Source organism: Homo sapiens, chromosome 1 (genome assembly GCF_000001405.40).
Source record: "Homo sapiens chromosome 1, GRCh38.p14 Primary Assembly".
Lineage (NCBI taxonomy): Eukaryota > Metazoa > Chordata > Mammalia > Primates > Hominidae > Homo > Homo sapiens.
The window spans coordinates 186026582-186044371 of NC_000001.11; the positions used below are offsets into that span (position 1 = coordinate 186026582).

Here is a 17790-nt window from a genome sequence, read left to right on the forward strand (position 1 = left end):
TTATTAATTTATCAACCAACCCTGTAGTTACTTTTGAAGTCAGGATTTTTTGTTTTTATTTTTGTTTTTAGAGACAAAATCTCACTCTGTCACCCAAGTTGGAGTGCAGTGGTACGGTCATGACTCATTACAGCCCGGATCTCCCTAGGCTCAGGTGATCTTCCCACCTCAGCCTCCCTAGTAGGGAGGACCACAAGCAAATGCCACCATGCCTGGCTAATGTTTGTACTTTTTGTAGAGATGGGATTTCACCATGTTGCCCAGGCTGGTCTTGAACTCCTGGGCTCAAGACATCTGCCGACCTCGGCCTCCCAAAGTGTTGGGATTACAGGTGTGAGCCACCATGCCCAGCCCAGGTTTTTTTTTTAATCTCAATCTTTATTGATGGATAACACATTCAGCAAATGTGCATTTACTACAGTTGTCATCCAGAAATGTCTGATCCTAAAATATTCAGTGTTTCAATTGTTTAATGTTTTCCTTTCTTATATAAATATCTTAGATGCTACCATTCTTCTTAGTCATAGCAAAGGCTGTTTCTCAAAGCTGTAGTAAGGGTGCCTGGTCTCCTGGACTAGGAGACCACGTCATGATCAAGAAAAGAGGAACATTCTCATGGGGTTTTCCAGGGTGGGGAGTTCTGTCATTTATAAAGGGCAGGAGCCCTCAGTAGGTGGTCTTTTTGATCATCAAAGTTTAATAATTCTGGAAGTTTTTATTCCCTAGACCAAACTATGAAATTACATCTAAACCTCAGATATTTGCCAAGTGCGACAGATGTTTCCACAAACAAATGATTATTTGGAGTCTAATAGCCCAAGCATTCATTTTATCTGCACACAATTATTTCCCAGGAAAAAAATTAACCAAGGTGAAACACCCAGAAAAAGTAAAATATTGTGGCTTCAAATTTACTTTTTTATATTGCCAATTAATAACTGCAGGATAAAAACGTACATTCCTCATCTGTAAAATGGGAAGGATAGAGAGAGTATACCACAGTTATGGAGGCTGTGTGAGGATTAAATGAAAGACTACATGTGAAAATCTTAGCCTGGTGCCTGGCTCCTAGTCAGCATCTGTAAATGACAGCATAAAGGCTGTCTGGCAAAACACATATTTGATTTTTGGCCCTTCTCACTGCACCATTTTCATAAATATCTGTAAAGTCCCTCCTGCCTTTACTCTTGGCCAGGAACTCTCTTGGGTCTGTATTAGTTGTCTGGTAAAAACATTAGTAGAGCACCCCTTATTTTTTTATTTTTTGAAAAGTATTTGCTTGGCTAACATCTGCTAACACCCACTCAAAAATGGTTCCTCTGTCGTTTTCTGTGTTTTGTTTAATAGCTCAAATGTGGCTTAAAGGAGACTCGGGAATGTTGCAGGGAACCTTTTTCTTTTTTCATGGGTAACTTCGGTTCAAGACTCTAAGATTTTCTTGGTATAGATTAATTTATTCCTCACTATTTCACAATTTCACTAGATAGAGAATATTAACTCACAAAAATTACATTTAGATTGCTTATGTACTACCTGTAATTTAACCAGGATTTGAAAGACTCTACTCATGACCTGCGTGATTGAAGTAATAGGCAAAATCTAGCACACAATGTGTCAAGAAGAAGGTATTCTGGTTTTGGCATGATATGTACATGCAGCTTTTGGAAAAAGGAAAAAAAACCCAGCAAATTGAATGGAATTCAACCTTCTTCTTGGAGAATGCAGGCATCTTATTATTAAAATAAGATCATAAGATATTGTTACTTTATTGCTGCTCTATCTAGAACAATGTTCTCCCAAATTTCAAGACTGCATTTCAATGCTAGAAGGGAGCAATGGAATTTATATTTGTATTTACTTTTAACCTCAAAATGAGAAAGAAATCAGGCTTTTAAAACATTTTTATATGGACTTACATTGGAGCCTTTCTGGTGTTTGAGGCATTGAACCATTACGTGCTTTGCAGGCAGGATTATAATTATTTGGCAAACAATCCCCCCAAGAATCAGTGGGTTTCTGGTCCACTTGTTTGTCAAATACCATGTACTAGTGACTATACCCAAAGAGCTTCTCTGTACAAGGCCTTTAGTCATTAGCTTTCCTCTTTTAGTTACTGAGTTATGTTTTGACATTTCTAAAGCATATTTTTTTTTTTTTTTTTGAGACGGAGTCTCGCACTGTTGCCTGGGCTGGAGTACAATGGCGCGATCTTGGCTCACTGCAACTTCCGCCTCCCAGGTTCAAGCCATTCTCCTGCCTCAGCCTCCTGAGTAGCTGGGGTTACAGGCACCTGCCACCACTCCTGGCTAATTTTTTTGTCTTTTTAGTAGAGACGGGGTTTCACTATGTTGCCCAGGCTGATCTCGAACTCCTCACCTCGTGATCCGTGATCCGTCCGCCTCAGCCTCCCAAAGTCCTGGGATTACAGGGGCGAGCCACTGTGCCTGGCCATATAAAAGCATATGTTTTATATGGAAACTACCTTGAGGACATCTGAAAAAATTAGCTAAGATAACATCTTTATATTTGCTAAGTCTGGCTGTGAAGACTTAATAGAAGTCTTTCAGAAAAAAAAAATGCTTAGCAATAATTTTTTTCTCTAACTCTTTGGAGTAGAAAAGCAATTGGCTTATTTTTTTTCAACCTTCTGAGGCTATAAATTAAAATTATGTTGAAATACAGTGAGCATCAAATCAGACTATCTGATTTATTATGAGATCTTTGTAGGTCAGTTATGGGTGCTTCTTGATCCCAGTTGTTTCTTGAGTTGAACGTTAAAAATTCTGAGCTTGTTATTCACAAAGAGATCACACATATAATTCACATAATAGAAGATTCATCCTTTTGGAGTGTACAACTCAGTCAATTTCAGTAGTTTATATCTTTCTAAGATTGTTTTTGTTTTATTTAGGTTATCTAATTTGTTGGCATACAACTGTTTGTAATCTTCTCCTAAAGTTTTTTTTTTTTATTTCTGTAAGATTGCGGTAATGACCCCTCTTTCATTTCTGATTGTAGTAATTAGATCTTCTCGCTTTTGTTTATCTTAGTGTAGCTGAAGTCTTTTTCATTTTGTTGATCTTTTCCAAGAACCAGCTTTTGGTTTTGTTAATTTTCTCTACTGTTTTTCTCTTCTCTATTTAATTTGTATATACTCTAATTTTTTTTGTTTTCTCCTTTTGCTTGCTTTGGATAGAGTTTACTCTTCTTTTTTTCTGATTTCTTAAGGTAGAATGTTAGGTTATTGATTTGAGATCTTATTTTTTAATATGGATGCTTGCAGCTACAAATCAGTCTAAGCTCTTCTTTATGTGCATCCCACAAGTTTTGGCATGTTTTTATTTTTCATTCCTCTCAAAATATTATCTGTCATGTGATTTCTTCTCTGACCAATAGTTATTTAGGACTGTGTTACTTCATTTTCACATATTTGTGAAGTTCCCAAATTTTCTTTCATTATTGGTTCCTAAATTTCATTGTGCTGGAGAACATACACTGTAAGATTATAGTCCTTTTAAATGTATCAAGAGTTGTCTTATAGTCTTATATATAGTCTGTCTTTGAGACTATGACATGTGCACTTGAGAAGAATGTGTTTTCTGGTGGAGTAGTCTATGTGTGCCACTTGCGTTATAGGTTGTGCAAGTCTTCTATCTTTTTATTGATTTTCTGTGTAGTTGTATCCACAATTGAAAGTGGGATATCGAAGTCTCTTAACTTTTATAGTTTTATTGTCTATTTCTCCCTTTGAGTTTGTCAATTTTTGTTCCGTGTATATTGGGGATCTGTTGTTATGTACGTATGTATTTATAATTGGTATATCCTGATGAATTAACCTTTTGTATTTTTTTTAAAGTCCTACTTTGTTGCCAGTAACAGTTTTTCTTGAAGTCTATTTTTTGTGATGTTAGTATAGCCCCTGCAGTTCTTTTTCCATTACTGTTTGCATCATATATTGTTTTTCATCTTTTTACTTTCAATGTATTTGTCTTTGAATCTAAAGTGTGCTATTATAGGCAACATACAGTTGAATTTTTAAAAAACTCCATTCTGCCAATCTCTGCCTTTTGATTGGAGTATTTAATCCATTTACATTTAATTTAACTACTGATGTGGTAGAGTTTATGTCTGTCATTGGTTATATATTTTAATATTTATTATGTCATTTTTTGTTTTTCTCTTTCTCCATTGCTAACATTTTCTTGGGTGCCATTTTATTGCCCTTATTGCTTCTTTTACATTTTTTGAGTTCTATTTTTAGTAGTTTTCCTCAGTATTATAATTAGAATCTTAATAATTATAGTATTTGGATATTTCAACAGTATACAAAAATTTTGTTCTTAATTAGCTCTCTTTTTCCCCTCTTTTGTGCTATTATTGTTAAACGAATTACATTTTTTAAAGTGCCCATTACTGCTTTATATTATCATCTTTTAAATCAATAGGAGAAAAAATGAGTTACGAGCAAAATATACAGTTTTTACATCTTACATATTTATCTATGTAGTTACCTCTACCAGTGAACTTTATTCTTTTGTGTGTATTAGAATTACTGCTTCATTTCAACCTGAAGAACTCCTTTTAGAATTCCTCATAGAACAGGGGTCTAGCAATGAATTCTTCCTAGAATTCATTGCTTTCCATTTTCATTCTTCTAGAAATATCTTAATTTCTTCTTTAATTTTAAAAGACAGATTTTCTGGATATGAAATTCTTGGTTAGTAGTCATTTTCTTTCAGCACTTTGAGTATGTCATCCTACTACCTTCTGGCCTTTGTCTTTTTTGATAAGAAATTGGCTGTTGTTTGTACTGAGGATCTTTGTACATAAGTCACTTCTCTCTTACTGCTTTCAAGATTGTTCCTTAGTTGTTGGTTTTAAACAGTTTGGTTTTGATGTCTTGGTGGGGATTTCTTTGAGTTTATCTAACTTAGAATTTTTTAAACTTCTTAGATATATAGATTGATGCTTTTCTTCAAATTTGGGAACATTTCAGTTATTACTTTTTAAGGCATTCTTTCTGTACCTTTCTCCTTCTCCTCTCCTCTGGTACTCCCATTATGTTTGATGGTGTTTCCACAAGTCTTAGAGGCTCTATTCACTTTCTTTATTCTTTTTTCTTTGATTCTAAAATTGGATTATCAATTGACCAATCTTCAAATTTGTTGATTTGTTTCTTCTTCCACCTTCCAGCTTTCTTCTTCCAGGTGTTGAGTTTTTATTACACTTTAGAATTTTCATTTGGCTTTTAAAAGTAATTTCTGTCTCTTGATTAACATCTATATTTAGTGATAATTCAGCTACTTTTCTTTGGTTCTTTATAGATGGTTTCCTGTAATTCTTGGAACATTCAGTCATCCCTCAATATCCACAGGGGATTGATTCTAGGACCCCACATGGATACCAAGATTTGTTGATGTTCAAGTTCCCTATATAAAATTATATAGTATTTGTTACAAAAAAAAAACAAAAATAAATAAATGGGATGAATTAAACTAAAAACCTTATGCATAGCAAAAGAAATAATCAGCAGAGTTAACAGACAACCCACAGAGTGGGAGAAAATATTAGCAAACTGTGCATCTGGCAAAGGACCAATATCCAGAATTTACAAGGAACTCAAACAGATCAGCAAGAAAAAAAAATAATCCCATCAAAAAGTGGGCAAAGGATGTGAATAGACAATTCTCAAAGATATACAAGCAGCCAACCTAATATATGAAAAAAAAACTCGACATCATTCATCATCAGGGAAAAGCAAATTGAAACCACAATGAGATACCACCTTACTCCTGCAAGAGTGGCTGATATGGTTTGGCTGTGTACCCACCCAAATCTCACCTTGAGTCATAGTTCCCATAATATCTATGTGTTGTGGGAGGGACCCGATGGGAGGTAATTGAATCATGGGAGTAAGTTCTCATGAGATCTGATGGTCTTATAAGGGGCTTTTCCCCACCTTTGCTCTGCACTGCTCCTTGCTGCTACTATGTGAAGAAGAATGTGTTTGCTTCCCCTTCGGCCATGATTATGTTTCCTGAGGCCTCCCCAGCCATGCTGAACTGTGAGTCAATTAAACCTCTTTCCTTTATAAATTACCCAGTCTTGGGTATGTCTTTATTAGCAGCATGAGAACGAACTAACACAATGGCCATAAGTAAAAAGAAAAAAAAAAAGAAAAAAAAAGATGTGGTGTGGATGTGCTGAAAGGGAACACTTTAACACTGCTGGTGGGAATGTAAATTAGTACAACCACTATGGAGAACAGTATGAAGATTCCTTAAGGAACCAAAAGTAGAACTACCATTCAACCCAGGAATCTCACTACTGGGTATTTACCCAAAAGAAAAGAAGTCGTTATATGAAAAAGACACATGCACATGCATGTTTACAACAGCACAATTTGCAATTGCAAAGATATGGAACCAACCTAAGGGTCCATCAACCAATGAGTGGATAAAGAAAATGTGATATACACACACGCACACACACACACACACACACACACACACACCATGGAATACTACTCAACCATAAAAAGGAATGAAATAATGTCTTTTGCAGCAACTTGGATGGAGCTGGAGGCCAGTATTCTAAGTGAAGTAACCCAGGAATGGAAAACCAAACATCGCATGTTCTCAATTTTAAGTAGGAGCTAAGCCATGAGGATGCAAAGGCATAAGAATGATATAATGCACTTTGGGGATTCAGGGGGAAGTGTGATGAGGGATGAGGGATAAAAACTACATATTGGGTACAGCATATACTGTTCGAGTGATGGGTGTACTAAAATCTCAAATCACCACTGAAGAACTTATCCATGTAACCAAAACCACCTGTATCCCAAAAACTATTGAGATAAACATTAACATAAATTGTATAGTAGTTGTATATAGCACATCCTCTTGTATAGTTTAATATCTCTAAATTACTTAATTCCCAAAACAATGTGGATGCTATGTAATTAATAGTTATACTACATTTTTATTTGTATTAATTTTTATTGTTGTATTGTTATTTTTTATTAAAAAAAATTTCCCATCCGTGGTTGATTGACACTGCAGATAGAGAGGGCCAATTGTATTTAAAATAGCTGATTTAAAGTTTTTGTCTAGTAAATACAATATCTAGTTTCTAGGTTTCCTGATGGACAGTTTCTATTATGCTTCTTTTTCTATGGATGAGCCATGCTATCTTGTTTCTTAGAATATGTGATTTTTGTTGAAAAAGTAGATATTTTAAATAACATAATTTGGCAACTCTGGAAATCATATCCTTCTCTCCTCATGGTTTTTATTGTCATTTTTTTTTTGTTGCTGGTTTTCATCGTTGTGTCTTGATTCATTAGTGAGTAGACAGAATACTGGCATCCTGCCAAATTTTCATATCCTAATCCTTGAACTTATTAATATGTTAGGTTACATCATAAAGGGGAATTAAGGTTGTTAATCATTTGACCTTAAAGTAGGAAGATAATCTCTAATTATCTGGATGAACCCAATGTAATCATAAGGATTATTAAATGTGGGAAAGGGAAGCAGCATATCAGAGTGATATAATGTGAGAAGAATGTTCCACACACTTCCTCACATGCCCTGCCCGTTGCTGGCTTTGAAGATGGAGGAAATGGCCTCTAGAAGTTGGAAAAGGCAAGGGAACAGATTCTTCTCTAGAGCCTCCAGAAGGGAATTCAGCTCTGCTGACACCTTAATATTAACCCAGTCAGGCCATGTTGGACTTCTGACCTATAAAACTGTAAGATAAATTTGTATTATTTAAGCTACCAAGTTTGAGGTAATTTGTTTCAGAAGCATAAGGAAACTTTTCTATATAAATTCTATGAAGTCTGTTTTTATAGACTTTAAAATACCCCTGGGGAAAAGGTTTGCACTGACAGAACAATTGAATCTGGTTAAATAAAGTCAAATCTTGCAAACAGGGATTTTCATGGAAAGGCCAGACAGGTCAAATAATGACAGTTCTCTCAGAATGGTACTTTCAGGTCGCTCGAAACCTATTGTTCTTCCTTCTGTGTCTGCTAGGCTGCTTTTTTCACTGTGATTATTGGACTATTTGTTTTCAAGTTTGACTGAGCTGGAGAGAGGGTGACAGGGCTAGGTCAGTTAAAATGCCTCAAAACTCACTGTTCTTAATGAAATTTAGCATTTATTTTTAATAAATACTTTTTGGATTTTTGCAAGTCTTTGGTTAATTTCCCAAGTTCTGAAAAGGTTGATTTTGACAATGTTTCCAACATTTTTGTTTCTTTAGTGGAGGAGTAGATTTTTTGAGTCCTTAGTCTGGCATTCTTGCTGACATCCAATCTTTCTTTAAGTTCTCTAGTGAAGTGAGAAATTGCCAACCCATTCCATAGCTCTTGTATTTCTTATTCCCATCATAGTGTTTTATTGCAGCAGCGACATAGTCTGTCAAATTCTTCAATGAGCACTTCAGTCCAGAAGGCTTCAAGTATTTAAAAAGCTGTTTTGTAGGAATGTGTCATGGACTGATTATTCTTCCTTTTTTTCTTTTCCAGTTGGAAAAGTTAGATAGCTATATTTATAAGTCTTGTGTCCTTAAATATTGTGTTGATAATCAGAATTCAGTGCAGAAAACAGAAACATTCTAGGCATTTCAAACAGGTAGGGTTAATACATGGAATTAAATGAATACAAAAGCAATTTTAAGAGTGATAGAGGGGTGGTTCTGGGGTGAGTCTTTAGGAACAACTCCCAGGACAAAAAAGATTTGACCCAAAGGACATCTACTTCTGAAAACAGACTTTATTTTAGACTTTTCAAAAATCAACTTTGAGTTTTATTATCTTCTTTGATTTTGTTTGTTTTCTGCTTTTATTTTTATTATTTATTTCTAGCCTGTTTTGGTTTATTGTGTTGGTCTTCTTCTAAATTCTGGGTTGAGTGCTTAGGACTTTTCTTTCATTATTTCTTGGTTTTTATATATGTTAATTATGGATTTCGATTTTCTTTAAGTACTGTACTGCTTTAGTGACATTCTATAGGTTTTAATATTAATCAATTTCACTTTATTTTTCTAAACATATTCTTATCTTGATTTCATCTTTAATGAGATTTTTCCCATGTAGATAGCTTTATATTTTCATTGTTGATTTATATTTTATAGCTTTATTAAATTGTGATTATAAAATACTTTATTGGCATTTCATGGGCTAATATCTCATTTTGAAAACATTCCACTGTCATTTGAAAAACATATATATTCTTTGGTAATTACAAATCCCCAAACACACACATACACATATGCATACACAATCTGCATGGGTACTTTTATTTTTCATATTCGTTATAACTGTATTTTTTGTTTCACTACACAGCCAATTTCTGAGGAGGACATATTAAAATATGCCACTTTTAGAGTTTTTGAATTTTTCTTGCTTTTTAACAATTTTTGCTTTGTTATTCAATGCATAAGGTATTGTCATTATAAAATATTATTCATGAATATAAATCATGTTGTTTTGTCATGTTTAATAATTTTTGCTTTGTATAGTTGTCAGAAATCGATGTCAAATTATTGTATATCTTTGTCCTTCTCCTTATTGTAACATTTTTGTGGGTTTTTATTTGTGCTCCTTATCCACTTAGATATTTTAATTAAAAATAGTTTTAACCCATTGTATTAGTCCATGTTCATGCTGCCGATAAAGACATACCCAAGACTGGGCAATTTAGAAAAGAAAGAGGTTTAATGGACTCACAGTTACACATAGCTGGGGAGGCCTCACAATCATGGCAGAAGGCAAAAGGCACATCTCACATGGTGGCAGACAAGAGAAGAGAATGAAAGCCAAGGCAATCTGATGGATCTAAAACCATCAGATCCCATGAGACTTATTCACTATCATGAGAACAGTATGGAGGAAACCGCTCCCATGATTCAATTATCTACCAATGGGTCCCTCCCAGCTACAATTCAAGATGAGATTTGGGTGGGGACATAGCCAAACCATATCACCCATACAAGTATTTTTTCTTTTTTTTTTTTGAGGTGGAGTTTCGCTCTTGTTGCCCAGGCTGGAGTGCAATGGCACGATCTCAGCTCACTGCAACCTCCACCTCCCAAGTTGAAGCGATTCTCCTGTCTCACCCTCCCAAGTAGCTGGGATTACAGGCGCCCACCACTACCTCCATCTAATTTTTTGTATTTTTAGTAGAGATGGGATTTCACCATGTTGGCCAGGCTGGTCTCAAACTCCTGACCTTGTGATTTGCCTGCCTCAGCCTCCCAAAGTGCTGGGATTACAGGTGTGAGCTACCACACCCGGCCACCCATACAAGTATTAACGTGTCAAAAAGTCACTATTTTAAGTGTCAAAAAGCTCTATTAAACAATGAAATGAACTCAGTCATATTTATATATTTAATTTTATTTCTGCCATCTTACTTATTTCTACTATTTTTTCTTGTTTTCTTTCCTTCTTTCCCCCTTTCCTGTTTTTGGTAGATTAATGGATTGATGGATTTATTGATTGTATGTGGGTCGAGGGTCTGTAGTGCATTGAGTTAGTTAAATGTAGCAAATCCTTAAAATGTGTTTTTTTTTTCTATCAACTTCAGATACTAATTTACAACATCTTCTTCAAACAAGACAGAACCTTTAGTTCACTTGTAATTTTTTAATCCTGGATGTCTCTCACACTCCTTGAGATATTGTTGAAAACATGGCATTAATGTTCCAAGTTATTTCTTTTATATTATGCCTCTCGGACTTTACGAATTCCTACTTTCCAAGTACATTAAATAACAGATCAGCATTATCAGTAATTACTTAAAGTTGAAAACGTACTTTTCTGTTTTATTTTGTGAATAACTTAAGTCTAAATTTTATATCAAAGGAAAAAAACTGCCAAAAACCACACAAAAGTTATTCTATTTTTTTCTGAAATAGCTTAAGACAGTGCTGTCCAAAGATAAAGTAAGATATTTTGAGATGTTGATTTCTTCTTCACTGGAAGAATTCAAATTTAGTAGACTAATTACTTCTTGGTAAAGATAATTACTTACCAAATCAATCAGATTAAGTAAAATAAAAAATGTTTCTTTAACTTTTTTTTACTCCTCTACTAATCTATATAATTCTAAGGATTTTCCTATCTGGACACAGAGAAATGTGTGATCCAGAAAACTTATTTACATTTTTTTAAATCCTGTTCTTCAGTCTATTTAATAGTTTACTTTTATTCCAAATAGGTCAGTGTATATATGTGAAAAAAAGAAGAGAGGAAGAAAAATTATAATTTTAATTGAGCAAACAATTTCAGCTTAAATATTCTACTTATAAGAAATAATTATCTGTTTGGGCCTCTTGTAGAACCACCTAGTCTGGAAGATGCTGGAAAAATGCTGAATGAGACTGTGTTGGTGAGCAACCCTGTACAGCTGGAGTGTAAGGCAGCTGGAAATCCTGTGCCTGGTACATTTACTTTTGAACTCTGTAACTTAATATTTTAAGATTTCTGGGAATAACTGAAATTGGTTTTGAGCATAATATACTAATTACTAGTAAAGAACAGGTTATAGAATACATTTCATGGGTGAAACATTGATAAGAATATTATTAGATAACATTTTTGAATTTTTGTTGCCTTTAACTAACTGCATGAAACAATTTATTTAAACAATGTAGAAATATATGAATACCTTAATCATCTTATTGTCAATATTGTGGCCACAAGGCCCACATGGTGGTTTATATCCATCTATGCTGAAACTTTTTTTTAACTTAAAAGTATCTTAATGAAGCTAGATAAAATTGTCGTTCTAATGAGACTACAACTTTGTTTTGTATATTCCCACCACTGGTAGATTATTCATATGAATCAGTAACAACATAAATCTTTGAGGCCAACAGTGTGGATGGTATTTGGTTTGATTAGACATGTAGCCAAAATTTTATGGATGAGAGGAAACATACAACAAAAAATAGATAGGTTGAAAGTTTGCTATTAAATAATACTGATATATTAGAGATAGTAAAGAATATCTTTCTTCTAAATTCATTTTCAGGACTCACCGACTTGGATCTTGGTGTTTTTCTAAGGGTTACCTTCTCTTAAAAATCAAAGCTAAAGAGATGATTATGTAAACAGATTAAATTCAAATAATAAGTATAAGAATAAAGTAATAGTGACTTAGCTAAGATCCAACTTAGTATATTTAATTTAAAAAATTTTTACATAGATCATCTTCTCCCCTTCTTCTTTCAGTTATTACATGGTACAAAGATAATCGTCTACTCTCAGGTTCCACCAGCATGACTTTCTTGAACAGAGGACAGATCATTGATATTGAAAGTGCCCAGATCTCAGATGCTGGCATATATAAATGCGTGGCCATCAACTCAGCTGGAGCTACAGAGTTATTTTACAGTCTGCAAGTTCATGGTTAGTGCCACTTCACCTAGATTCATTCTGGGGTAAAGAAGCATTCAAAATGATTAAGTGCTTCTATAAAATTCTTGTGTAAGTATTTAACAGAATGTGTTATTGTCATCTTTATGTAAGGGCACAGTGTTCTAAAACTTATAAATGTGCTTATTCCTGATTCCTATTAAAATGCTCAATTTCCACATGCTGTTGACTTAAGTTTGCTTTCAATTAGTTGTTGAAATAGTCATTGATACTGTTAGCTAACAACAAAAAACACTGCTTATAAATGCTCTCTGAAAGAATCATAGGTATTAACGAAATGTTTTTGAGTGATTATCTCTAATAATGCTTTTAAGACGAGTTGGTAGTTAACATACTACAGTGGATGCAGTGAAGGGGGTACACACTTGTGTTCATGTGCACACACACACACACACACACACGCCTAGAAATCAATAAATAAAATTCCACTCCGGCATAAAAAACTGATTTTTTTAACAAACTGGCAAAACTTGTTTTTCCTCATCTGTGAAATGGAGAAATTGATACTTGCTCTGTTTATCTCACAGGATGGCTGTGATTAGATCTTAAATAAGAGAGATGTGAAAGAACTTACCAAAAAACAAGCAAACCCTCCAATAAGAACATAATATTGTAGACATTAGATGTAGTTTTCATCATTTGAGATCACAAATCCTGTGATATTAACGTGTCTTACTTTCATTTGTTTTTTTCAGTGGCCCCATCAATTTCTGGCAGCAATAACATGGTGGCAGTGGTGGTTAATAACCCGGTGAGGTTAGAATGTGAAGCCAGAGGTATTCCTGCCCCAAGTCTGACCTGGTTGAAAGATGGGAGTCCTGTTTCTAGTTTTTCTAATGGATTACAGGTACCTTCATTCATTTCTTTGGTGACATTTACCACCTGATTATTCAGTACAGGAAGTACACACAGGTAAAACTGTTGAAGAGATTTAGAGAACAAGGATTAACAGATGCTATTTTTTAAATACACATATGCAACCATAAACACCATGGACACATAACTGGGGTCCCCAAACAATTCATTAAAAGCTCACTGTTTCTAAGAGTTCCCTTATCTTACTTTTAGGTGTTATATTTTGACCATTTGTTTTGGATATTTGTTGTTTTCTACCTGCCCCACTCCACTTTCTGCTGCTACCACAATAGATACTTTACACAAAGAAATGTTAATAAGAAAATAGGAATTTTCTGGTAGACTTTAGGTTTAAATGTCTTGAAATAGTAATGAATCAGAGACTACACAGAGCATATATACTTCTACAAAAACATCAAGTAATATAGTAAGAAAAAATATAATTAAAACATCACGAGAAATAAAATTTGAGTCCTAGAAAAATTTTAAATGCATTATATTGAGTCAAAATTAAAAATATAGAAATGCGTATATACCTAATATAAAGTTTAATTTTATCTTGCCTAACAGAAAGCATAGTATTCCTAACATTATACTTCTTCAGGTTTTCTTGCAAATCTAATGCTTTCAAAATTTGGGATCATAGAAGATCCAGAGTTAATGTCAATATTTTAGAAATACAACTGAATCCATGGGATAAAGGATAATCAAGGTAGCTTATTAATTAATTTGGCTACTACTTTGTTGTTAATTTTAGCGTCTTACCTTTTTACCCAAAGAAAAATTAGAAAGAGAATTAGCATTTATTCTCACTCATGTTTCTCCCCTGGCATCTTTGTCTGTCTTTGTAGTGAGTATGGATGAAAGTTGACTTTCATTTGATGCTGTATGTAAAGACTTATTTTCAGTAGTCATTACCAAATTTAATTCCAGCCTCTTAACATCCTTCCACTGAGAAGATGAAAAGGGTATTATATGATGTTTGCCTACTTAAAAATGTCCAAGGGAAAATCTTCCTAAAAGGCAAATGTCAACTGATAAGCCTCAAAAAAATAAGAGAAAAAATCTATTACACCTACCATTCTCAGAGACATATTGGTTATTTAGCGTTCTTACCATTGATAGGTTCTCTCTGGTGGTCGAATCCTAGCATTGACCAGTGCACAAATCAGCGACACAGGAAGGTACACCTGCGTGGCAGTGAATGCTGCTGGAGAAAAGCAAAGGGACATTGACCTCCGAGTATATGGTGAGACATTTTAGTAATTAATTCTCTTCTGGTAGAGATATGTTTGGGTCCTAAAATCATTGAGAAAGTTAAGGGAAGTTGTTGACAATAAAGAACAATGAACCTTAGAAATGATATTACAGGATCAATTCAAATCAAATTCTCTTTCTGCCTTATATCTGACTTTGGATGATTTTCCTTTTTTAAAGTTCTGAGAAAGTAAAATGCACACATCCAGCATGTAGGGTGTTGGTTTTATAGAGTACTCTGAAAACCATGACTGGATAGCAGCTCTGCCATTTAGAAGAGATAATCTTCTCATCACTGAAGCAAGTATCTGTTCAAGTAGCTCTCTTCATTCATTCTACTCAAAGCCATGATTTTATTACTTTCTAACTATTTGTAATCAGCATATTTGTGATCAATACTATGTGAATTAATGGCTCTTTGAGAAGCAAAAAGTTAAACTCAATATAAATTTAGGCAAAATTTACGTTTTTGCCCACTCTCAATGCCGCTCACAATGCTCACAAAAGGGAATGCCCGATCCCATCACAGAAGAGCCCCAGAAGAAAGTTGGGGCCTCTTGATCTCCATTTATATATTAGCTTTTCAGCCCACATTCCAGTATACCTTTACATTCAGAACTCTTTTAGACTTTTTTCTGTGGTTTATTTGCATTATATTCCTTAGTTCTTGGAATAATTAAATTATTTCTTTTATGACCTCTTGAAGAGTTTCTGTTTAATGCAGAATGCAAGCCTTCTCCTTAAAGTCCTACCTCACTTCCAAATAATTTATTCTTTTTTGAAATACATTACCTTTTTAAAAATTTTTACCTCCAGACAATGTGGACCATGTTGTCTTCTCTTATAAGTTTGCCAATGTAAATGTATTGATCACAAATAACATATATTGTTATATAATTTTTTAGTAAAAAGACCCCTTGTTACAACATGGATATCATACATATCTAATGAAAGTAAAAGTTTTAGTTGGCATCGGTACACTAGCAAAGGGTTCTCTATGTTCCCTTTCTTTTCTGTTGCTCCTGCAATTGACACGAGTTCACATTCAGCCTCCAGATTTGCTTAGGTGTCTGAGGTAACAGATAGGTCTATAATGCCCAACCCCAGGAATTTTAACTTCCTCCCTGAATTGAGCCGCTTTTATGCTTTATGAAGAACTGGAAAGTTTCTATTCTAAAATATCCTTTGAGACTGATTCATCAATCAATCTAAGTATGTAACACAATAGTTCTTCAGTCATTAGGAAGCAAGTAGAGGGATGACGTTGGTATTGACTGGGTTTTAGTCACCACAGAAATCTGAGATGGACTCCTTACATTTCTACACTGGCTAGCGTCAAGGGTGAACCTGGGAGATGATAAAAGAGTTGATATTTTCCAGGAATTACAGAAACATGCATCACTGTTCCTTATCAGTTGCTAAGATACTTCTATACTACTTTCTTAGGCTGAAAATCAGGATCTTTCTCTGAAATAAAGGTCAAATGGCTAGCTGATATATATGTTTTTGAATGTTTATATATGTTTAACCATTGAAATATACATGCAGCAAGCTGCTGAAAAAGTGTAAGATTAAAACAGGTTTTTAATCTAAAATCAGTTTCCAATCTGTATTCACTATTATTATTATTTGCATAAATTATATTTTTATATTTGTAGTAGTAACCTTGGTGATGTGTGTCTAATTAGAGCCTAATGAATGTTAATTCCCAGAGATAAATCACCTTCAGATTTACATTGTGGGGTACGCTGTTGGGGGGTGGAATAGGGGAAGTAGATAGTAGGCAAAATAGCTTTTCCTACAATTATGAGTAGTTCATTAACATTTTTCTCCCTGGTATAATTCAGAGTATGTTTTGCCATACCCTGAGATATTGAAACAAGAGAATTGAGTTTTTAAAGATTTGGATTCATGTAGTACCTTTTCTTTAAACTTAAGCTCAGACAACTTTCCTGGAGATCACACATTCTTCAGCTTCCCAGCAACGACAACCCTATGGCAACTCTGATTTTAGTAATTAAATTTAACAAACATAATGTTTAGGATGAGAAACAGGTCCAGAACACATCCCTTCCTAAGCAACATAACCACAAAGCAAAATAAGGATAATATCTTAGGAAGCTGAGGATCTAAAGGGTAGAACTCTTGTTCTCTTCTCAGACTAAACAAAAAGTTGGAAATGAGAGACAGGACAGAAAAAAAAATACATGTTTTGGTAATATATATCCTTGGCTATAATTAGATTTGCTTCAATTTTTGTCCCTTAAACAAATACTCCATTGTTTTTGCATTTTTTCCTCTCATTTAAAAAATCTGGTTTCCTTTTGAACTTGATTCAACTCATTTAATGTAAAAAAAGTAACTGAAGGAAAATATATTTGGAAATGAATTAGCATTCTGTAGTCTTGAATTGCTTCCGACTTTCACTTCTGCAGTCATAATGAACTCATGCTCTTTTGTAGATTCTACAAATAATCTAAGACAAACATTTTTATACAGTTATGGTTCTTTTTTATTCAATGAGGCCAAACTTTACCTAAAATTATTTCCAAGCTGTGAAATCAGCTATTCTATTTTGGGCTTCCTGAGTGCTAGGACTTGTGAATCTGTTTTCATGGCATCTTTAGAAAGTGGCACTAATTAGGCCAGGTGCAGTGGCTCATGCCTATAATCCCAGCACTTTGGGAGGCCGAGGTGGGTGGATCGCCTGAGGTCAGGAGTTTGAGACCAGCCTGGCCAACATGGTGAAACCCTGTCTCCACTAAAAATACAACAGCAACAAAAAAATTAGCCAGGCGTGGTGGCACATGCCTGTAATCCCAGCTACCTGGGAGGCTGAGACAGAAGAATTGCTTGAACCTGGGAGGCAAAGTTTGCAGTGAGCCGAGATCATGCCATTGCACTCCAGCCTGGGCAACAAGAGCAAAACTTCTTCTCAAAAAAGAAAAAGGAAAGAAAGTGGCACTAATTGTGCTCACTTTGCTATTTTTATAGTAGTTTTAGTCTCAGAATAATCATGTATCTTTTATTGAATGTGTTACACATTGAAAATAATGTCAGTGTTTTCTGTTTCTCACAGATTACTTTAACCTTATCGAGAGCCAGCTGTCTGTGTGTGCTACTAAATTTAGCAGAAGGAACGAAGGAACATCATGAATCTCTGCACAAATGCTCCATTGGTCAATCTCAGCCATTGTGCAGTGTGTTTCTTCCTTTAGCATCAATTT

The 17790-nt window shown here is 34.5% G+C and overlaps 1 protein-coding gene across 6 annotated transcripts in view; it reads left to right on the plus strand.

Annotated features, from left to right (window-relative positions):
* Positions 1-17790, plus strand: part of HMCN1 (hemicentin 1) — a 456559-nt gene that overhangs the window by 292191 nt on the left and 146578 nt on the right. For all 6 annotated transcript variants that reach the window (NM_031935.3, XM_011510038.4, XM_024450118.2 and 3 more), the window contains 4 exons: positions 11353-11454; positions 12248-12424; positions 13147-13298; positions 14432-14555. In NM_031935.3, the coding sequence (NP_114141.2) occupies positions 11353-11454; positions 12248-12424; positions 13147-13298; positions 14432-14555 (555 nt within the window). The remainder of the gene's footprint in view (positions 1-11352; positions 11455-12247; positions 12425-13146; positions 13299-14431; positions 14556-17790) is intronic.